The sequence below is a fragment of the Homo sapiens genome, chromosome 6, assembly GCF_000001405.40.
Source record: "Homo sapiens chromosome 6, GRCh38.p14 Primary Assembly".
NCBI lineage: Eukaryota > Metazoa > Chordata > Mammalia > Primates > Hominidae > Homo > Homo sapiens.
Genome location: NC_000006.12, coordinates 168,934,338 through 168,959,044, shown reverse-complemented (window position 1 = coordinate 168,959,044; position 24,707 = coordinate 168,934,338). Strand labels below are relative to the sequence as shown.

Sequence of the window (24,707 nt, the reverse complement as noted above, 5' to 3'; positions counted from 1 at the left end):
AGAACCAGTCAATAAAATAAAACAACAAATAATATACATTGTAGCTTCTTAAGAATCTTCAGCTTTTAAAGTCCCAAGTCTTTCCAGGGCTCCCAGAGCCCCAGTGACTCCTCACCAACAGAGATGGGATCCCGGAAGAGCCGGGATCATGATTGGAGGGAGAAAGATACGGAGACCCCAGTCTGTGCCAGAAGAATTTCCTGAATTAACGTTTTTATCAGGATGAAGTGTGGATTATCAAGTTTGTTAGAATAAATGGTAGGTTTCGGTGATTCTTTTAAGATGAAAATTGATTAGGATTGGGTAAAGCCTGTGGTGTGATCTTGTAAGGTTTGTGGACAGAAGACAAGAGTTTCGAAGTGAGCCTTCACAAGAACATTGCTACTTGGTAAATGAACTTTTTGCTCAGATTAGCAACATGTTGTCCTGATAGAGAGAAGTTTGCACAGATAAACAAACTGTCTTGATAAACTGAGTTATAGGAATGCCTTGAAACAAATATTAGAGTTTCATGCAAAATGTCACTTCATGTTTGAGTAAAATTACACAGAAAACCAACGTATATGTCACAAGACACTGATACCAAGAGTCTGGCTATCGCACAGAGACAGTGAGACCAAGCCTAGGAGTGATTCTGATTGTCAGAATGAGCCCCATTGTGAGAATATCAAACCAGAAATTAGACTCATGACAAGAAGCCACTAGGGATGAGCTAGTGGCTCATAATAGTAGGGGGAGGAACATTATAGACACCATTGCTGAGAGGCAGCAGGTGCCTGTTAACAGAAAAGAACCATACGTAGGCAACATGCCAAGAAAATGCCCAGGAAAACAGGGAAGGAAAGCCCCCAGATTCGAGGATGACACTCTAGAGCCAGTCATCTGGCACACTTGCAGTGGGTATTGGCGGAAACTTCACTTCTCACAATTTTCTCTTTCTTTTGAAATAAGTTGTCTTCATCTGCGTAATTTGGGTTCTCCAGAACATCATCTGCTCTGGTACATTCCTGACTATCTTTGCTGTAAATGTTTCTGACGGGACAGGGGACCAGGTGTTGTACCTGGGTGACATAACTCTCAGGTTAATTGTGGACTAGTGGCCAAAAGCAAAGTATGGTCTTCCTTCCATGTGAATCTAGGGCATGTTTTTTCTTTTCATCTTTTCTTATAAGACAACATTTCCAGGTCTTAGGTCTAGTGGAAGCTGCTTCGGAGCCATGGAGAAAAGGCAGCCTGCGCTGATTGACCATGAGCCTAAGTACACTGCATGAACCTTTGGAAGTACCTCTTCTATGTCTGCCTGAAGTAAGATAAAGTTGAAATTTTGGGGTAAATACTTTGCATAATGGCGAACCTGTGATAGTTTCACATGGTGAGAGTTTATAGGGCTCTCAGGGAGTGTGGACTCATGAGACTAGTGTGACATCTTTACCAGGGAAGCTACGCCAGATGCTTTGGATGGCTTTAGCTCTGTGGTGCCACTGGATGCCTCAAGGTTCTGAGCAGGCAGAAGGCTTCTTTCAGAGCTCTTCAGTGACAACTCCAGCAAAACTAGAACAATGAATTCATTCTTTACATTGGGAGCCAGCATAATTATGCTTATTTATATGTTTGCTTTCTCTACCATACAGTCCATAAATCTCCAACCAGTAAAACTCCAAGTAAATTCTGAGAAAAATTAAACAATGACCAGGACACAGTCAAAACTCATTATACAGTGTAGTCATATGAAATTCAAAAAGGGGCCCAGGTTCTGTGTGTAGAGGCTCGGGCTCCTGTGCTTTTTCCATTTTTCAGTTTTATCGGTGTCATGCTGTTGACCTGTAGACGTGCTCCAGGGTTGTGTTCAGCAAGTGTGGCAGTGTCCTCACTGGTATTGATTGAGTGCAGTGGCTGAGCCTTCTTTGCTGTCTGGGTAAATTATGTAAAATCATGTGCAAGCTTCTATTGGAGGTCCTCTGGCACCACCAAGTGGCTGGCCTGACAGCTCCCAGCCTGCCCGGCTGAGTTCCCCACCAGATTCACACTTCTCTTCTCTGATTCTGGAGCAACATTTCTGAGTTGTGTCATCATTTGTAATCAGTTAGATTCATTTGTCACAGTCATCCTTCTAGTTTGAGATTTCCTCAAATCCTAGTTGAGTTTTTATTTACTTTGCATACGATAAATTTGACTTTTTAGCTTTTCCATGTCTTTCCACAACACAGAAATGCAGTCAAAAATCTTCCACCCACTACCACACAGAACAGTTCCATCACTCATCAACCCATCCCCAAACCCTTAGAAGCCCTGCCCCCTTTTCCGTTCCTACATTTTTGCCTCCTCCAGGATGTTATATAAGTGGAACATGTAATATGCAGCCTTTGGGTGCTGCCTTTTTCACTTACCAAAATGCAGTTAAGATTCATCTACATCCTGTGAGTCGGTTACTCACTCCTTTCACTGTTGAGTAGCCTTACGTCGTGTGAACACACCACAGTCTGTTTCTCCACTCGTGTTGAAGGACAACTTGGTTGTTTCCAGTTTGAGGTGTTATGAATAAAACTGTTATAGACATCTGCAAATTGTTTTTTGTGTGAACACAGTTTTCCATTCACTTAGATAAACATCTAGGACAGGACTTTGTGGGCCATGAGATGATTGTATGTTTATCTTTATAAGAAATGGGCAATCTGTGATCCAGGGGGTGTGGACGTCCAAGTAGAATACTACTTTTGTATTCCCACCAGCAATGGGAATTCTTGTGGTTTCACATGCCTATCGACATTTGGTGTTGTCAATTTTATTTTAAGCTTTAACTTTAGTAGTACTTGAGGGTAATAGGGAGAGAGAGAAAAAATTCTGGATATAAGTACTTTATCAAATATGAAATTTGCAAGTAATAGCTCCAAGTCTGTGGCTTGCTTTTTTACCATATTTACAGGTCGTTTGCAAAGCAAACACTTTAAATTTTGTTAAAGTCAAATTTTAAAAATTCTTCTTTCATTGAGCATGCTTTTGGTACTGTATCTTAAAACTCACCACCAAAACCAAAGCCATGCAGCTTTTCTGTTATGTTTTTTTTCTAGAAGTTGTATGGTTTTGCATTTTACATTCAAATCTATAATCCACTATGAATTAATGTTTGTATATGGAAAAGGTATATATTGGTCCTATTTGGGACATTTGCATATCAAATGTTCCAACACAATTAACTGAAAGGATTCTCTTTCTTTCCTAACATGACTTGTACCTATGCCAAAAGTCACTTGTCAATATATGTCTGAGTCAATTTCTCTATTCTTACTTTTGTTCCATTGATTGCCTATCCCAGTGCCAATGCCACATTTTATTGTTTACTGTCACGTTATAGTGTCTTAAAATCAAGTTATGTGAGTACTTTACTTTTGTTGTTTTGTTCATTTTCCAGAATTTTGTTTTGTTTTTCTTGCAGAATTTTTGTGATTATTATAGTTTCTTTGCCTTTCTACATGAATTTTGATTCAGCTTGTTGTTATTTACAAAGTAGACTTGCTGGAATTTTATTGAGATTGCATTGCTCAAATCAGGGAAAATGGGAGAATGGACATCTTTGAAATATTAAGCCTCAAATCCATGAAACTGCATATTTCTTCATTTACTTAGATATTTCTTCCTTCTTTCATCAGTGTTTTGTAGTTTTCAGCATACAGACGCTGCACCTATTTTGTTATATTTATACCTAATGCTTCATTTATTTTAGTACGATTTAGTGCCTTTTAAATAGTATTGTGTATATTTGAGGTTTACAACATGATGCTATGAAATATAGATGGTAAAATGGTTACAGTGGTGAAACAGATTAACATATCTATTATCTCACATATTTTTTGTGACAAAGGCAGCTAAAATCTACTTATTTAACAAAAATCCTTAACATGGTATAATTTTATGAAGTTTGGCCCTCACGTTGTGCATCCAGTCTCCGGAACTGTTGTCCCACCTACCTTCTATGATATTTTGATCCCTTTGACCTACATCCCCCCATGTCCTCTTGCAACCCCCACCCATGGAAACACTGTTACACACTCTGTCTCTGTGTGTTTGAGGGTTTTTAAAAAAATATCTCACATATAAGTGAGATCATTCAATTGTTTTCTTTCTGTGTCTGGGTTATTTCACATAGAATCATGTCCTCCAGGCCCAGCCATGTTGTGCAAATGACATTTTTTTTAAAATTCAAATTCCAAATGTTCATTATTACAGGTAGAAACATTTTTAATTTTCATGTAAGTTGTTTCCTTTTGGGCATAGAGATGTTTGTAATATTACTGATTTTAGGTGTTTCCTGATTTCTATTACAAGCACTTAGTACTCTACATTTCCCTCAAAGCACTGCTTAGCTGCATCCTGATAATTTTGATATATTGTATTTTAATTTTTGATTCAAAATATTTTTAGTTTAGTGTAAGACTTCAGTTTTGACCCATCATTCATTTAGAAGTGTGTTGTTTATTTGCCATATATTCAGAGATTTTCCAGATATATTTTTGTTTATTTTCAGTTAATTTCATTATGGTTTCAGAACATACTTTGCTTGTTTTCTACTCTTTTTTCATGTTTAAGGTTTAGTCTATGGCACAGACTATCAGCTATCTTGGGAAATATTTCAATTTAAAGATATACTTTGCTGCTGTCTGGAGGAATTTTCTATAAATGCCAATAATAATTAGTTAATAGCATTTATGGAATAAAAATAGGACATAAGATTAGTGATCTTCTGTTTGGCAAAGTTTTCTTAAAGAGGACACAAGAAATTATACATTATAAATTTAAAAAAATGAAAATTATAATCTTTTATTCTTCAAAAGACATCATTAAAATTATTTAATAGACTGAAAGGAAGTATTTGCAAAATAAATATCTGAAAAAGAGCTTTTGTTCTGAATATATAAATAATTTATAACACAATGGTAAGAAAACAAACAACTCAGTACATTTGTGGACTGAGTTGGACAAATATTTTAATGGATATTTCAACAACAACAACAACAAGAAGAAAAGATGCACAAATGGCAAATCAGCAACGGAAAAGATGCTCAACAGTACTAGTCTTTAGGGAAAAGGAGGTTAAAACCATAAGAGCAATACCATTGCACTCGTGTGAGAATATCTAATATTTAAAAGTATGACCATAGCAAACGCTGGTGAGGATGCAGAGCAATTTCAACTCTTATACACTTCGGCTGAGAATGTAAACCGTTTTGGAAAACAGTGTGGTCAATTTATAAAACATTAAACATTCACCTACCATATGACTCAGATATTCTACTCCTAGAATTAATACATTTGAGACCCAAATTTTTGGATACAAATGCTCATATCATTTTTTATTTTTAATATAAAAATAATATATTAAATAATATATTAAATATATATATTAAATAATATAGAAAATAATATAAATGTCTATTAGCAGGTAAATGGGTAGATAAATTGTGCTGTGCTCATGCAACGGGCAACGACTCAGCCATAAAAAGGAACAAACTACTGGGGGACGCAATGAGTGGACGATGCACCCAAAATTGTCAGGTGAAATTAAAGCAGCCAGGTTAAAAGTAAGAAAGAGCATGCACTGCAAGACTCCATTTACATGAAATTCTGGAAAATGAAAACCATTTTACAGTGGCAGAAATCAAACTGACAGTTGCCTCAGGACAGGAACAGAGGGAGGAATGGACACCAAGGAACATGAGGAAGCCTTTTGCTTACAGAAACACATGTTTTCATGGGAAATCAATATGTCACTGTATCAGTATTCATCAATATATGCAACTTATTTTACAGCAATCATACCTCATTAAACATAAGATGAAATAAAGACATTTCAAGTCAGAGAAGAGTTGATCAATTTCCTGCCACAGAATGACATTAAACAGTAAAAGAAGTTTCTTGAGCTGAAAGAAAAGTCCAGAAGATCCTACAGGTAAGCAGAGATCATCAGGAAGGAATGAAGCACACTCCAGAAACTGTGAAAATAAGAAAAACTGTTTAAAACAACAACTGTAAAAATGTAGTGCAAGTTTTATAAGGTGTGCATAAGTAAAATTTTATATTATATTAGTGCAAAATGGAGTTAACTATTGGAAGCTTCTTGTATTTTCAGAGAAATATTAAAATTACTACTTTAAACATTAGCTACTCAAAGATGCTTAGGGTAGCTGCTAAGAGAATAATAAAATAATGTACTAAAATATAATGAAAAAGAAAAATCAGCACATGAAAATACTTGATTTATCTGAAAGGAATTAAGAAAAATGGAACAAAGAAATAAAAACAGACAAGAGAAATAGAATAGTAGGATGGTAGACTTACTTAAACACAATTATTTTAGTAATTAAATGTATAAAACTGAACAATCTAATCAGAAGACAAAGATGGTCTGTATGAAAAACCGAGAACCCAACAATATGAAATTTGCAGGAGGCACATTTTAGATAAAATCATACAGGCAGGCTGAAGATAAATGTCTATAGAGTGGGAGTCATGGACACATTGTGTTTAAGAGGCAGCTGAGGTAGCTATAGCACTACGAGACAGTTGAGTTTAATTAAGGCAAAAATATTCCTAAAGATAAAAGCTACATTTCATAAAAACAGGAAGATACAAAACTCATAATTGTGTGTACGTGCCTAATAACATTGCTACACATGTATAGAAAAAAAAAAGACTTAACTAAGCAGAAGAAGAGAAATATCCAAAAGCATAGTTGAGGATTTTAACACCTGTTTCAGAAGCTGAGAGAATAAACAAACCAAAAAAAAAAAAAAGTATAAAAATAGCCTTTAGGGACACAACTAAATGTTCCTAACTGGTGTATACAGAACACTGCACCCAACAACTGCAGTGTAAACTCTTTATCAAGGGAACAAGGAACATTTACCAAAACAGACTGGACCATAAAACACATCTCAACAAATTAAAAATAAAAAGATAAGTAAAATCACACAAATTATGTTTTCCTGCACAACACAATCACACTGTAACACAACAGAAAGATGACTGAAATAATCACACAAAACACTTCCACGCTGTTACGCATAGGAGCACGATGGATGTTGAAAATGTTTTGAATTGAAAAATAATAAAAAGTGTCGTATCAAAACATGAGGGACGAAGCTAGAGCAGTGCTTAGAGAAAATTGTATAGCTTCAGTTGCATATATTTAATAGGAAGAGTTTTGGAGTAAAGGCTCAGAGCTTCTGCCCCCCGAAACTAGGAAAAGAACTGCAAATTAAACCCAAAGATATAAGGAAGGAAATTATAAACTAAGTTGGAAAACTAAGAATTTTCTGATTTGAGCAGGTGATCGTTTGATTTTTCATTGCTCCAATTAAAAAGCAACCAAAATTCTTTTTTAATAGTTCTAATTAAAAAGCAGCCCAAACTGTTTTTAACTCACACACTTACATGTTCCAGCCATCGTGTTGAGCTTGCAAGAAATATCAAGCACAGTCTATCTGAGGAGTCAAAACGAACCCATTAAACCTTCAATAACAGCACAAGAGAGTAAGGGATACAAGAGTTTCCACAAGGCGACTTTAAAGAAAACGATAAATCCTGTTGTGAACCATCCGACATTGCAGAGGGGGTGTGTGAGCACAGCTGGGCTGGTGAGGGGCGGCTCCCGCCTTGCTTTGCCGGGGCTGCTCTTGGGACACTGAGCGGGTCTGGCTGTGCTGCCATCTGTCCTGTCGGGAACAGGTCTGACACGTCCACCCAAGAACTGTTGGCTTCTTGTCTATTTTTAAAAGCTAAAGCAATTTCTTTGATCTTCCTACCACCACAGCCCTGCTTCGGGATGGGAAAGGTAAAAGTTGCTCTCCCCACTGTAAAGACGAAGAAAGTGGGATGTGGAAAGGTGATAACCCTGCACACAGCACAGTCAGAGTCAAGACTCAGGACAATCTCCCACCCTGCTCCTGTCCCCTTATAGCAATGGTACTTGGAGCTCAGAAGGAGGAGAGGAAGCTGCGGCTTGGAGACCGTTCAGAGGCAGCCGTGGAAAATCCCGGCTTGAGCTGGACTGGGCAGCTGGCGAGTGCCGGGGCAGAAAAGCGCGCAGGCCGGGCCAGTGGGGGAGCACACGCAGCTGCACACAGGACAGAAGGCCCACGCATCTCAAGATGCGCACATGCATTCGGTTTCTTCCTGCATAAAGTCACTGACTAGGTAAATCTGCCATGTTTAGTCATCACCAGCTGCATCAGTGCTGCAGAGTTTGGCCTACATATGCGTTCTATCACCCAGGAGACTTGGATAGAGATGCTGGCTCCGTCGTGGCAACTTCACACTGCAGGATTGAAATCACAGGGGTTCTTCACAGAAGGGTGCAGGGGTCTGGGTGTGAGCAAGGCTGAGAGGCCAGAGCCACGGCCTCCAGGGCTGCACAGCCTGTGCAACTCACTCTGGCCATTTGTGCTTAGGCCAGCAATAACCTCCCTCGGCAGAGGGACATCAATCTTGTTTTAATATGCCATGAATCTTTTGTTATTCCTGACTGTTGACTAGACATAGATTATTGCCATATTATATGCCATATTGCAAATAACAATAAATAACCAGGCTCTATCACTGTGGTGAAATGCAAATCCTAGATTTAAAACTGTTTTTCAACATAAAGTCATGGGAATGGAAGTTCAAGCGCCAAAACAAAGTTATATAACAGGAATAATAAATTAAAGATGTCAAGCAGCAGATGCGGAGAGAGAAAGCACACACACTCACTTACGCCTGCTGGAGCCACAAAAGCTAAGGCCGCTGCCACAGTTTATTTGAAATGTATAAGCACGTATAACTCCCAAACCTGGCAAATCACTGCTTAGGCATTTTGACAAGCATTTAGATAAACAGAAAGAATTAGCTGTTGTAGTTCATTTTTTTAATAACTGGCTCAACAAACAAAAGAAAAATACTGAAAGTTTCACAGCTGAGGCTGCAGGAATTAGGGCAGTAACAGTGCTCACAATTGTCAGGTTCTGTGACTCAGAGGAATCATAACACTGAAAGCAATCCATGGACTAAGTGCCAAGAAATATGCAGTAACTTTCACTGCTCCTTTGCTCTAATACATACATCTCATAGCTGCTTTGAAGGGATGTATTCCTTATTTTCATGTTTCATGAAATTTTATAATTGTTAAAGTTTTCTAATCCCTGCCCTGACATTACTGGCTGTTTGATCTTGGGCAATTTAGTTCCTTTCTCAAAGCCTCTCTTTGCTGATTTCTAAGATGAAATAATAGTGTCCACCTTATAAAAATACCATGAGCATTTATAGAAACGATGCATTTAACACCATCTCGGTATGGGGCTTTCCAGTTAGAAGATCTTTACCAATTCAGCTTTTATTGTTTACAGTTTATGGTGTCATGTATGATCTGCTTTCTTCGTTAGCTACTCACTTTTGTTAAGTTATAAATTACGCTTTTCTATGTGACGTAAGCCAGGATAAAGGGAACCCAGAGCATTGCGGTGGGAAGTGGATATATTCTAACTTTAAAGAAAATGACCAGACTTGGGAGTGAGGGTGTGATCTGGTGTGGGGTCCTGATTAGGAAAAGGAGCCAGGCTAGGGGGAGCAGGGAAAGCAAAAAGACAAAGCAGATAAACTACAAATCTGCCTTTCTTCATGGTCCAGGACACACAGCCCTCCTGCGCAAATAGCCCATCTAACACACAATCTCCCTATGCCTGACTTACCAGCAGACACCTCAGCTGACAGAAAAATGCAGGTTCGCTCACTGCAATCTTAGTGTTACCAGTACTGCACGTATTCCTCTCCAGCACAAGCACCATCCTGTAAAATACCCAGCAAGCTTTTGTCTCCTGGAACTCAGCTCCTTTCTTGCTGATCTACCCATTGCATCCTTGCAACATATTTTCATACTTTCTTTAACAAATCCACCTTCCTTTACCTTGTAGGTAAAGGTAAACTGCCTTTGTAAATCCCTTTACTGTATGCACCACTGCCCCCAGTTAGTCACTACCCACAACACTCGATCCTTCTGTTTAGGAAGCCTGGAGAGTGATGCACATGGATATCTGGAAGCACATTCTAGGTAGAAATGATGGCAACTTCAAATTCATGCTTGTTGTTAAAGTGATAGGAAGGAGGACCACCTGGCCAGGCCACGAAAACAACAACAGGCAGGTGCATAGCAAGAAAATAAGTGCCCTAGCAGGAAGCAGATGGCACATTCAAAAGAGAAGTATGGAGGTGTGATCAGTTAAGCAAACCATTCCAAACCCTTGGCCTGAAGCAAGGCGAGGTATAACCATGGAGCCCCGCAAGAGCCTGCCTGGGCTGTAGGGAGCCCACTGGACAGGATCTGTGGACACAAAGAAGAGCAACCCTTGCCAACACCTGGCCGAGGAGAAGGGAGAAAGAGAGACTTCCCCAGCTTCACCCTTCTCCCACATCCTGACTTCCTCCTGGTGTTTCCAGTTCTAAAGCCAGCTGAAAACGGAAAGCAAGGAGCCTGCACCTAAAGGTCATGAGGTTCAGCCTCCTGGCACGTAGCAGTGGGGAAGAACGGAGAGCTCTCTGAGACTGGCGGACAGGACACGGCCAGCATTAGATAGAGAAGGAGAGGTTGTGGGATGTATTACACGAGATCTTGAAAACCCTGCAAGAGATTTCACCCTGATGGAGTGGGAAGCCGTAGGAGACACAGTCAGGAGAGGGACTGCATCCGACTCAGACTTAACAAGGTCCTTCTGGCTGATGTGTTGAAAAGGGCAGAAGAGAGAAACCGGTGAAGCAGGATCATATTAGGAGGCTGCTACCATCATCAAATGAGAGGGACAACAGCCTAAGAAGATGGCTAGCTGGAATAATGCAAAGGAGAGGTTAGATTCTTGATATGCTCTGACGGTAGCACCAACTGGACTTGCCAATGATTGGATCTGAGTAATGAGATAAGGAGAGGCATCAAAAGGCGACTCCAGGATCTCTGACTGGAGTGGCTGGAAGGGAGAAGTCATCACTAACAAATGTGAGGGATCTGCAGGAGGAACTAGCGTGCAGGGAAGATGGAAAGTGGTTTGGACATGTTGAGTTTGAGGTGTTCACGTAGCAAAATAGAGACTTTAATGAAGCAAGCTGATACAAGCCTGAAGTTCAAGAAAGAGGTTAAGTCTCAATATATTAATTTAGGAATACTCAGCAAGACAGAACCTAGATTCCTACAGTCACAGAGCACATATGCATATGTGTAAGTGTGTATGCCCAGCACAACGTCAGCTCTACATAAATCTTTGATATTATTTTTATTCTTAATTCTTCTTCTTTCCCTTCAGTACACTCAATTAGGATTTATACACTATTTTTTGTTTTGCTAAAATAAACCCTGACATTCTGTGAGACTATAGCTTTAGCAGAATTTCTGACCTGTTCAAGCTGATATAGACCTGTTTCTTCCTGCTCACACCAATAACTATGACTAGAAACTCTGAAAATACTGCAAGAAACAACCAAAGGAGAACTCTGAATGGTGGCTGGATAAAGGTGAAAATGGTTTGGTACCTAAGGACTAAAAAAGAGGAAAACATGAGCACAGTGGCAGGGCATCTGATATACCCCTACCCATACAAGAAGGAGACCCAGAGGCGTCATTTCCAGACCCTCAACCAATGGCAGAACCAAGCCCAGGTAGATGTGCAAGTGATAAACATCATTATTACAAACATTTTCTCAGGCTGTTATCTTTTTATCTTGGATGCTTTTCCTTAGAGATGCTTTACAATGGAATGTTGTTCTAATCTGTGGATCACTGACTTTCCATGCCGTGGTGGTTTTGAAAACTTTAGTCGTATTTAGACATGCTTTTCTCATTGCACAGATTAGCTGAGTTAATGTGTGCACAACTAACGGGGGAAGGACGATTCGAGCTGAATCCCACAGCGCAACACACACCTGTAGGTAATGAAAACAAAGAAAAAACATCTTGAAATTGGCCAGAAAGAAACCCATTACCTATAGGTGAACAGCAGTTAAAATATAAAGGATTTATCACCTGAAATAATGAAAGCCAGAAAGAAGCAGCCCAATATTTTTTTCTTGTTTTTCCCATACCATTTAACTGCTGAATGAAAAGAACTTTCAACTCCAAATAAAGACATACTCAGATGAAAGAAAAGTAGAAAGAAAATTGTTGCTCGCAGAAACAGAGATAAGCCCTAATATATCAATAATTATATAAAATGAAAATGGCCTAAATACATCAATCAAAATACACAGATTGGCAGAGTAAATAAAGAAAATACCACTCACCTATATGCACCTTATTAGAAACTCACTTCACATTCAATTATATGGCTCGTTTGAAAGGAGGAGGATGAACAAAGACAGACCATGCAGCATTAATCTAAAAATCAGAAGTGACTCTATTAATATCTAATAAAGTCGACTTCAGAGCAAAGGAAATTACTAGAGACAAAGAGGGACAGTACAAAAATGATAAAAAGATAAATCTACCAGGAAGTTATAATAATTCTAAATGTATATGCACCAAACAACAGCACCTTAAAATACATGAATCAACAACTGAAAGGAGAAATAGACCAATCAAACATTATGGTTGTAGATTTTAATACCTCTCTCTCAGCAACTGAAAAATAAGCAGAAAAACAGCCAGGATATATAGGATCTGAATAACACAGTCAATTAACAGTATCTAATTGACATAAGCAATACATTGCCTATGACAACAGCAGGATATACATGTTTACAGGTGTCCACGGAACATTCACTAAGATAGACCACATCCTGAGACATAAAACAAACTTCAATACATTTAAAAATTGTAGTCATATAGTCTATTATCTGACATAATGAAAGCGAACTAGAAATCAATCACTAAAAATCAACAGGAAAATATTTAAACATAAGGAAATTAAGCAACAGACTTTTAAATAATCCACGTGTCAAGAAAAAGTCTCCAAAAGTTTAAGAAACACATAGAATAGAATGAAAATGAAAACACAGCATTTCAAAATATGTGCAGCAGCTAAAGCAGTGCTAAGAGGGAAATCTATAACATGAATTGCTTATACTACAAAACAGTAACGGTCTCAAATCAATTATCTAAGTGAGTGCCTCAAAAAAGTAGAAAAGTAGAACAAAATAAACTAAAATCAAGTAGATAGAAGGAAATAATAGGGAGCAAAATCTGTGAAACTGAAATAGAAATTTAATAGAAAAAATTAACAAAACCTAAAGCTGTTTCTTCAAAAAAAAAATCAACAAAGTTAATAGACTCTAGCAATACTGACAAAAGAAAAAAGAGAAGATACAAACCAGAAATATCAGGAGTGAAATAAGTGATATCACTACAGATCCTACCATGATCTAAATAAAATAAAGGACTGCAACAACCAATTTATGTTCATAAATTTGACACTTGGAAGAAATAAACCAATTCCTTGAAAATCACAAACTGAAAAATCTCAACCAAGATGAAATAGATAATTGGAAGAGTTTTATAAACATTAAAGACATCGAAGCCTAACTAAAAATCTCCCAAAAAGAGATTTTCAGGCCCACATGATTTCACTGGAGGATTCTAACAGACATTTAAAGAAGAGCTAACAGCAATTTTATACAACCTCTTCCAGAAAATAAAGAGGGGAAAACTTTTCAACTTATTTTATAAGCTCAGAATTATCCTGATACCAAAACCACCAAAGAAAATACAAGAAAAGAAATCTATAACTTAAACCTTTTCAAGAGGAAGACTAGACTTTGGCATTAGGAAATTTTCATTTCACTAACCATTCTTCCAATTTATTTGCAATTGTTTCCTTGTATTTTAGTTGCATATCTTTTAAAATCCCAAGATATATTATTTTATTATTATTTATATCATTATGGTTGTTTACATTTAGTCACATAATTATCACTCTCTTTTCTCTTACTTGTTTGTAGGATTATTTTCTCCTTACTGAAATCCTTCAAAATAATCATTTAGCACTATATTTAATAATAATGTTCTCCCTATAGGTGACTCAGTTTTTTGTTATCTAAAATGTCTTTATATTGCTATAATTCTTGAAGCTAATTTTGCTAGGTACACCATCTTCAGTTGGTACTTCTTTTCTTACAGTGCTTGGAAAAGGTTATTCTTCTGTCTCCTAATTCTCATTGTTTCTGTTCACTAATCTTCAGGCAGTTGAATTATTTCATTAGAGATGTTTCTCATGTCTCTGTAGCTGCATTTAAGATCTTCTCTTTGTTTTTGCTGTTCTGAAGTTTTATTAGAATATGCATAAGTGTGGATTTTTTTATTTTCTTAGTATTAGTTCTTCCATAATATGGCTTTCATGCCATTCCCTTTACTCTTTCATCTGTGGCACAGCTTAAACTTAAGCTAGAGTTTTTCAATTGACTTTTTATATATCTTAACCTCTTTTATATTTACCATCTCATTATATTTCTGGGTATCTCTGTGTAATTTCTTCAGAGAAATCTTCTATTTTACTTCTCTCGTCATTCATTTTAACAACTATTGAGTTTTTAATTCACTGATTTTTTTTATTTCTAAAAGTTATCTATTCTAATTATGTCTGGTTATTTTTAATATTCTCTTTCCTTGGGCTCATTTTTGGTTTGCTTTCTGTGACTCTCATTCCTGGTGCCACTCTTTCAGGTTTTTCTGGTAATTTTTAATCGTTAGCTTCTTTGTGGTTCGCCCTGCTACACAGACATACAAAATGGGCCAAAGAAATGCTCTTCTTCAGAGAGGATTTGCATTTGCTTCTGTTAGAAACCAGGGAATACCGTTAGTTTAGGAGCACTCTGGGTGCTAGGAATCTTCAAGGAGCTCTGACATAAGTCTCTGGTGCTAGGACGTGCAGGGTAGTGGCCGTCTTCACTCAAGCCTCAGCTGGGCTCATACACATCCAAATGTATCTGAAAGATTGATGGGAGGCGCCTGCTAAAATCTTGTTTGAAAAAGAATCTAGGAGCCTCCTGGGAAAGAACTTATCCCAAAGGAAATAAAAGCAGGAGTGATAACTGCCAGTCAGTGGGTCTAGGTGGTCAGGGGTAGAGGACTGTCAGTGGAGAGCACTGTCTGTCATCCACCCATCTCCCCTTGTCCAGCCCCAGCTGGCCCCTGCATGTCTCTCGTGGAAGTGGAAGTGCAGCAGGACCCAGGCCTGGGCAGCTGTGATGCAGATTGCATTCTTGCAGGTGTTAAAACTGTGCATCTGGATATACAGCTCAGACAGCCTCTGCCGTCACCCCAGAGGTTCAGTCACCACTCCAGCTCTCACCCCTCAGTGAAGGTGTTGCTGCCCATGCTCAGTAGGACATTGAGCTTTTCAAGAGGACCTCAGATATCCTTCCACAGTGTAGATACAAATACTCTGTCCTCAGTCAAGGCCTGCTGCATATCGGGAGCAGTACAGTCTGGTGCTTTGGACCAGGGGTCAGCACACTTTTCCTTTAAAGGACCAAAATATGTATTTTAGGCTTTGCGGTCTTGCTTGCAATTATTCAACTCAGCGGCTACAGCTTTGCAAGCAGCTACAGACAATGTCTATGTGGAGTGAATGCCTGTGGCTGTGTGCCAGTAAAACTATTGACCGAAACATTTGTGGGGTGGGCGGCAATGACCACAGGCGCCAGCCCCTAGTTTAGGGGCAGATTCAGGAGCTGCCCTGCTGGGTTCACCCGATGCCTCCCAGTCTGTTGCTGTCCCGTGGGTGACTTTGTTCCTCTGTGGCTCGGTGTCCCTGTCAGCAGCACGTGCTTAAGAGCCGCACCTGCCTCCTTGGGTTCTCCTGAGGTCTGAAGGGTGCAGGACAGTCATGGTGAACAGCATGCTGTGTCCAGTCCCATCAGTCCCTACGTCTGAGGTCTTAAGCAGCCCACTTCACTTCTCTGAATCTCAGCTTCTTCTGCATAATGAAGAAAACAACAGTAACTTTCTCAAAATCGTGGGGGAAACCATGGCCACAGCACGTACTACTGCGCCTGGAATACAGATCTTTACACTTTTGTCACAATGAATGGGAGGAGGAAGAGTGAGACCGCCAGGCACAGAGCTCAGGTGTGTTCCTGGAGAGGATGGACATGCCTGTGAGCCGAAGGAAAGCGAGGAACTGGTGGGCGGTGCCTGGGCTGCTGGGGTGTCTTGGCCTTCCCGGCCTAGGTCACAGGGCGGCATGTCTCAGCCAGCGGGAGGAGCCTCAGGCATCGCTTAGGAGCCTCTGTGCGTCCACGTGGCCTTAGTGCTACTGGCGGGAGGCCCACTCCTCTGGTCCCCAGGGCCATGAATCTGACCCACAGGGAGGCCAGCCGGCACACAGCATGGTGCAGGGTTTCTCTAAGGGACAAGGTGTCAGATGGAGACCGTGGGGTGCAGAGCTACAAGAGCTGAGGGACGACTGAGTGAGCAGGAGGAACATGCACTCCAGACCCCTTGGCCAGCAGAAGGCACTGCCTCCTTGACAGTACACACAGCCAAGAATCGGGGACTGGGAGGAAAAGACATGACTTCAGGAACCACACGAGGCAGTCTGCACCTTGGGTGTTCCCACCATCCCCCATCCACCACAGGAGGGCTGACTGCACACCTGACCCCGTGCACCTGGTGTTCCCACCACCTTCCATCACAGGAGGGCTGACTGCACACCCCAGACCCCGTGTACCTGGTGTTCCCACCACCTTCCATCACAGGAGAGCTGACTGCACACCTGACCCCGTGTACCTGGTGTTCCCACCACCTTCCATCACAGGAGGGCTGACTGCACACCTGACCCCGTGTACCTGGTGTTCCCACCACCTTCCATCACAGGAGGGCTGACTGCACACCTGACCCCGTGTACCTGGTGTTCCCACCACCTTCCATCACAGGAGGGCTGATGGGACACCTGACCCCGTGTACCTGGTGTTCCCACCACCTTCCATCACAGGAGGGCTGACTGCACACCTGACCCCGTGTACCTGGTGTTCCCACCACCTTCCATCACAGGAGGGCTGACGGCACACCTGACCCCGTGTACCTGGTGTTCCCACCACCTTCCATCACAGGAGGGCTGACGGCACACCTGACCCCGTGTACCTGGTGTTCCCACCACCTTCCATCACAGGAGGGCTGATGGGACACCTGACCCCGTGTACCTGGTGTTCCCACCACCTTCCATCACAGGAGGGCTGAGTGCACACCCCAGACCCTGTGCACCTGGTGTTCCCACCACACTCCATCACAAGAGAGCTGACTGCACACCCCAGACCCCGTGTACCTGGTGTTCCCACCACCTTCCATCACAGGAGGGCTGAGTGCACACCTGACCCCGTGTACCTGGTGTTCCCACCACCTTCCATCACAGGAGGGCTGACTGCACACCTGACCCCGTGTACCTGGTGTTCCCATCACCTTCCATCACAGGAGGGCTGACTGCACACCGCAGACCCTGTGCACCGGGCAGCCCCGCAGTGGCATACATAGTGAGGAATAACGGAGGGCATTTAAGGGACTGCGTTATATTTTAAACTGCATAGAAAAAAGGGATTTTAAAATGTACTCCAGCCCCTAAGGGAAGCCTTTTGATAAATATCAATTTAGTTCTAAGCTCAATACGGGGGCTCTGTAGTCCCTGTTCCTCCAAACTCTGTAAAATGTGTGCTTCTGCTTCTCCAATGGCACCAACACTTGAGAGGCCATCCAGGCACAAGTGTACAGCCTTGGTTTCCTCTGATAGTGCCTGACCCAGAGAGATGAGGGAGGCAAGGGAGGTCTCCACTCTCACGTCCAGCCAGGCAGCCTTCTGCTCTGGAATCTGGGGAATTGTGCCAGTGCAGATAGGAGTTATGGCTCCATAGCTAGTTGGCTCAAACTGTTTCCAAGTCTGTGTGAGAGAGTCATCTTGCAGAGGGCCAAGATGTCTTCAACTCCCGTACAATCTGGGCTTTTATTGTTAGCCTGACCCTGTCTCTTTATTCACAGGTTAATGAGGCATCCTGGGTTATCCTGATGCTGTGATTTTATAATTGTGTGTATGTGTGTGTGTGTGTTATAGAATCCTTACTTCAAACACAAATGGAAGCCCAATGTATAAAAACAGATCCAGTACTTTGCTTCCCTCTCTCCTTGCTGTCCCTTCCTCCACCCTCTTCAGTGGCTCTCAGAGGAGCAGTGTGTAAGGCACACGGTCTCTTGACCATGGATGAGAACCATGACCCCAGCATGATGTTATCCAGTGGAGGGCAGGACGTGTCACCAATGGCAGCCACAGGAAGTGTCAGGGCATCCCTGTTATGCCCAGTAGGATCTGCCCAGAGCTTCAACTCCAAATACAAAGTGTGTCTTCTCATCCAGTGGGGTTTAAGTTGCATTTCTATAACCACAAATATATAACAAACCTGCAAAGGCAACTCAAAAAGGGATAGAGACCGAGACAGAGAAAACCAGAACAGCACAGAGCCACCTTCTTCAGGGAAAACTGCAGAGAAGAAAAGGTTCCCCATCATGAAACTGATTAAAAAGCTGCTCCTTCAACACCACACTTGGAAAGTGTGCAGGAGCCATCGCCAAGGATGTTCTGTCATTTCTGGTAAGAGAAACAGCAGGCAAAGCAGCCCAAACCGTAAATACCAGACACATGCTTTTACAGCTACTTTCTGACACGGGTATGTGTCATTGAGATGGGCACAGCATAGGTGGGTATTAAACAGGGTGGGTGCATTGGACACCATTGAGATGGACATGTCATAGGTGGGTATTAAGCAGGGTGCGTGCATTGGATACAGTTCTGATTCCACTGTGCCTCTGGGTGCATTGGATACAGTTCCGATTCCACTGTGCACGTGGGTGCATTGGATACAGTTCCGATTCCACTGTGCACGTGGGTGCATTGGATACAGTTCCGATTCCACTGTGCGTGTGGGTGCATTGGATACAGTTCCGATTCCACTGTGCATGACCCATCAAGGCTTGGGGCACAGAATCCTTCCACACATTTTTCATGAGAAACCAAGACTAAGTGGATTATGCCCAATTACCACAAATATGTGCTTAACGGGAACATGTTTAAGTGGCACAAATACCAAGCTAAGTAGTGCCTTCCTGCGGTGTTTATAGGAATGGGGTCAAAACAGGCTAGGACTGCACTGCAGAGGACCAACATGAGTGACAACAGTCACCTCACACATGAAAAGCAGTTCACGCGTTTTATTTATTAATAGTCGTCTCCGAATGCTGCGTGCGTTTACTTTTCAGGAGAACTTTTCCATGGCTTTCCCACACTCCCTGACAGCACGAGCCGGGTTTTTCTTCTTTGCAGAGCTGCACGCCTGGTGGAGAGGACATAGCAGGCACCTGGTAAACATGGATCAGACGCCCCATGAGAGGATCCAACCCATCAGCACTGATGACGATTTAGGCTTTGTCACTGGAAGTTTGTAAAACCCCAGTTTTAATGAAATCTTGGGCTTCTCCTGAATGAAATGGGTGAAAGTCTGAATCCACCAAGACTTTTGGTTAAAGCTAAACAAGGACAGGAGCCCCGAGTTTATTTGTAAATAGTGGAGAACACTCTCCTGGGATAAAGGGCAGAGAGAAAAATGAGACCACGAGGCAAGAAAGTGTGGAAAGCGTTGTTGCCACCTCTGCTTCTCTTCCTGCTGGTCTCTCCACATTCTGCTCATTAACAGACCTTCCTTCACCACCGCTGGGTGCTTCATCCTCAGGGTCACTCGCAGAGGCTGCCAGCTGTACCAGGCACCAGGCAAGGATCCCTAGGGTCAGTCACAGATGTTGCCAGCTGCAGCTGGGCACCAGGCAAGGAAGAGCTGCTGGCCAAAGACCCTGGCACTCAGCAGTGAACGGCTCCCACTGATGGCTGGGTCTCCACCTCCTTTGCTGTAACTCTGTCAGTTACATGGGAATTCAGAATGAAAGGAAAACTACCAGCAGGATGAGAGGTTAGAATGGCTTCTCAGGATTGATTGATTTTGCCTTGAACCTATAAAAGGTCATTTTAATGCCAGGTCACTTAACTCTTCTGGAGGACGGTCAAACTCTCTGCAAGCTCTGGACAGGAGAGAGAGAATAATGCTGTCCACTCAGGTCATGTTGACATTTACCAAGTGAGAAATAGCCTCCTGTTTCTCAGTAGGGAACATACGTTTAACTCTTCGCTGGGCAAATCACACCCGAGTGAAATGTGGCTCTGTGTCTTGGGCCCCTGGCATCTGAACACTAGTTTGTGACACTCTCCCACAGCTGCGCCTTTGCTGACCCTCTCTTACAGCGGAGGTGAGACAGCTGTTTTCGTGTGATGGATTTATTAACAAAGAAGTGAACCCATCCCGCGTCATGGGTGAACGTGTCCAGCATCCTGGGGCCCAGCGGCTGTGGGCATAAGCCCTCCTGATCCTCAGCTTTCATGAGTACAAGTCCCATCTCGAGTTTCTCAACAGCCAATTATGGATTTTCTCTTTTCCTCCAACAAACCAGATATTATCGAATCATAAGATGACAAGATATGTTAGAATTTTCATGCAGTTACATCAGAACTTTTTAACCAGTTGGCTTATAAAATAATCTATTTTAAAATCCAGACTTTTTAAAATATAAAGCTTGGCTTTATATTCTGTTTAGTGGATGCAAAGGATCTTAAGTTACGGGCTTTCTTTTAGAAAATATTTAGTGTATGTTGGGAATAATATCAGCTCCTGAGTCAGACAGACCTGGTGTAAAGCACAGCCCTGCCACTGACTAACTGTGCATCAGACAACTTAGTTTATTACTGAGCTTCAATTTTCCTGTGTGCAAAAAGGAAGTAACAAAGTCTACCTTAGAGAAGCATTTCTTATGTTCTGAACAGATGTTTCCTTTTACTGCAATCCAGAAGATCTTAATTCGGAACTGAGAATCAGAATTACCTGGAGCACTTGTAAAAATGCAGAATCCTTAATTTCCTTGCTAACCTGAGTTTTTAAAGAGGAAATTAATGTAAGCAAAAAAATATTTTCAGAGTAAGTGGGCCGGGCGCAGTGGGTCACGCCTGTAATCCCAGCACTTTGGGAGGCGGAGTCAGGTGGATAGCTTGAGTCCAGGAGGTTGAGGCTACAGTGAGCTGTGATTGCGCCACTGCATTCTAGCCCGGGCGACAAAGCCAGGCTCTGTCATCTTAAAGTAAAAAAAAAAAAAAAAAAAAAAAAAAAAAGAATAAATAAACTTGTAAAGAAGTGTTCGGCCTTATTATCAAGATGTTGAGGTACCATTTTATCTTTTTTGTTTCTGTTTTTGAGAGAGTCTTGCTCTGTTGCCCAGGCTGGAGCACAGTGGCGCGACGTCGGCTCACTGCAACCTCTGCCTCCCATTTTGAAGCAATTCTTCTGCCTCAGCCTCCCCAATAGCTGAGACTACAGGCGCAGGCCTCCACGCCTGGGTAATTTTTGTATTTTTAGTAGAGACGGGGTTTCACCATGTTGGGCAGGCTGGTCTAGAACTCCTGACCTCATGTGATCCACCTGCCTCGGCCTCCCAAAGTGCTGAGATTACAGGCGTGAGCCACCGTGCCCAGCTCCACTTTATCTTAAATAAGTCACTGTACTGTAGTAACCAACATTGTTGCAATCTGGTAGACATCCGTGTTAAGTTCTTTCAATGATTTGAGCAAATTGGACCTTCCAGCATTTAACTTCAGACATCTCTTCAGTCCTGGCCCTGCCGGAGGCCAGCTGCTCAGGTGGCCGGCCCCACTGCTGGGGAATGAGTGAGGTGCCCACAGAGAGGGTGTCTCGGATACTGGATGTGGAATGCATCTGTACTGCCAGGCATGCAGTAGGCATGCAGTGAGTCATGATTTAATTACAGGATTATTTAAACTGAAGTTTCCCAATCCTTCCAAAGAGCCCCTCCCGACTTGCTCAGGCTCAGCTCTCTAAGGGCTGAGGGGGTGAGAAACGAAAATGACACTGAGAGCCTGGACCCTATCTCCACGCTATACTGCAGGTCTTAGGACTCCGGAGATGACTTTTCCGGAGAGAAATCACGTTCTTCCCAAACTTCTGATCCCTCAACATCACTACATGTATGATTTCTATTAAAGCAATGCCCTGATTGAAATTCCTTACGTCTTTTTAAACGTCTGGAACACTGTGACGTTTGCTGCATCAAACGAAGGGTGCATCAGCCACTGTGTCAAATACATGGATAAAAACTGTTCAAACATGTTAAGACATAAACACTGCAAAGGCTCTGAAAAAAGTGGAGAGACACAGAGCCAGATAAATAATAGTAGATACTTTTGAAAAATATGAGCTTGAAATTAAAAAGCAGTGCAGGCACAGACCCCCTCGCAAATCGCACGTGTGAGAGCTGGTGCAAGATTACTGTGGTTCCCAGGAACCTGTCCAAGACCTCCAAACCATCTACACTAAAGAAGATAAGCCCAAGAAGGCAGCTAAGCATTGGCCCTGTTTCTGTTCCTAGCTTCTAACTGCAGATTTTACTTTGGTGTTGGAATACTTTTTCCTTTGTTATTCAGTTTTTATCAGGACCTGCCTCATTACAGGATCACACACTTTTTAATGAATCTGGGTTCATCTATATCCTGTTTCTTTCCTTCTTCATTTCATAAATGTTTGCATTAATACATATTCATTGGACACTTACTCTGTTTGGTTATTTCTTTAGCTATTTGGGGGCAAAATGAATTAGACATAATCCCTGCCCTCAAGAAATTTCCAGTCGCCCACTCACAGGATCACCGACCTCTCTTCATTTTCATCTACAGGAAGATTTCCTCTTCCTTTCTCCTTCCTTGGCACCATCTTCTTCCCTTCCCTCTGCCTCTAAGTCATGAGCATAAACTCTTTACCAGGCCTAGTCTTAGGCTGAAACCACAAGTTATTTTCTGTCTTGAAAACAAACAAAAAACAAAAAAAACCCTCTAAATCAATAAATCACAAAGGGCTTCTATTCCTATCTGAAACAAAGAGAAAATACTATAAAGAAAGAATGCAAATTTACATTTTATATGTTTTTTCTGCCAAACCAATTTGCCTGAATTTGAGGCAGAAACTGTGGTGTCTGAGTCTGTGAAAACCCTGGATTTTCAGAAAGAGGAAATGCTCTGCCGACAGCCAGATCTTGCTGTTCCTAATTGAGGACCAGCCAGGCTCAGAGGGCAGCAGCGATGCTGAGCTGAGACCACACCGCGGCAGGGCCTGGAGCAGGAGGGAGGCAAACCCACCACACATCAGACACCACCCTGCAGCCCCCTTGGACTAACAGGGACGCCTGACACTTCATCCGTGGCCACGCGCGCCCCTCTTGAATCTCCCCTCTCAGGACGAAATGCATGAAGATATCTTCACCCATCAAGCATTGGCTCCCCTCTCCTTAATCTCTCCTTGGGATCACCTAGCACAAGCCCCTATCCTATCAGAAGCCCCTCTTAACTCCCCCTTATTGAAAGGGTTTCCTGGTTCATTTTAATTCCACTCTTCCTTGTCTCAGAAAGTTAAATAAATTTAATTTTTTGGACACAAGAGTTTCTGGTGTCTGTGGATGAAGAATGTGAGTGTAATTGGAACCTGATAGCCAGTTTGCTATTGGGCAATACCAAGAAATCCAAATCTGTTTGGTTCTTGAGTTCAGACAGTGAAAGAGTTTGGCAAGCCAGGGGTACCTGTCACCGTTCCTCCGATCTTTACACATCTAACCCCACTGCCTCCAGGATGCAACAACCAATACAATTTCATGCCAACCTGATCACTGCTGCTCGCTGCTTGCTGCTTTTTGAGTTAGCGCCTTTCTTTCTGAAAGCAGTTGGAATTTTGTTCCTTCCCTCTGGCTCCCTAACTTCATCCTGGATGCTTTGAAATTCACAAGACTATACACAGGCGTGTGCTATGACATGTACATACTGCCCGTCACTTACTGATCCCCGAAGGCCTGTGCCTTCCTTCAGCACCAGGGAGTGACCTCCTGAAGCATGCTGGGCACAGACACCCTCAGTAAAAAACGTGAGACAGAGTTGACAGCACCCGCTGGGGTGTCAGGTTGCCTGGTTTTAAATCCCGGCTCCACCACTAAGGACTGTGGGATCCAAGACCTCTTAGTTAAATGCGCCATGCCTCAGTTTCCCTATCTGTAGAAGGAAGATAACAGAACCAACCTAATTTGGAGAAGTATAGTTCTCAAGTGCCTGGGAGCCAGGAAGCCTTAACAGGTGTTACTGGCTGATATTATCACCAACTCCTCGTTCGTCTGTTTTCCCCGTTAGGAGCGTTTATGAGCCGGCTTGCCTCACGGCTCGCCTCACGTCTCGCCTCACGTCTCGCCTGCCCCGTCTGCTGTCGCTTTGTCCTTTGCATTCAGTTTTCAGACAGATCCTCGGCACCTTTCAGTCCTCACCAAATATTCTTTATGACTATTAATGGAAATAAATGTTAAAAGTGTATACACAGAAAAGAAATGTCTCCCCGGCTCAAAGTCTTTTTAGAGATGTGTTCTAGTAATCATTAAATGAGCAAATAACTGTATAACCACACATATTCTTCCAGAGACCAGGAAATGAGGAACACTCCCCAAATCACTGAATACGATATCAAAATCTTAGCCCAGCAAAATATAGCATAAAAATAAAACATGTCGATCTTATTGATGAATATAGATGCAAAAGTAATAAACAAAATGTTAAGAAAGAAAATCCAGAAAAAATATACTA

At 42.0% G+C, this 24,707-nt stretch overlaps 1 long non-coding RNA gene across 1 annotated transcript in view, besides 1 other annotated feature; it reads left to right on the top strand.

The window, feature by feature from the left end:
* Positions 1–24,707, top strand: part of LOC105378146 (uncharacterized) — a 36,642-nt gene that overhangs the window by 5,338 nt on the left and 6,597 nt on the right. Inside the window, exons 2-3 of the long non-coding RNA NR_136250.1 lie at positions 1,186–1,305; positions 5,806–5,944. This is a non-coding gene — a long non-coding RNA (uncharacterized LOC105378146). The remainder of the gene's footprint in view (positions 1–1,185; positions 1,306–5,805; positions 5,945–24,707) is intronic.
* Positions 8,070–8,574: an enhancer, noted in NCBI's record as "H3K4me1 hESC enhancer chr6:169350566-169351070 (GRCh37/hg19 assembly coordinates)". NCBI's record gives its function as "activates a minimal SCP1, AML or CMV promoter by ChIP-STARR-seq in primed H9 embryonic stem cells {active_cell/tissue: H9 hESC(primed)}" and the evidence as "EXISTENCE:reporter gene assay evidence [ECO:0000049][PMID:30033119]".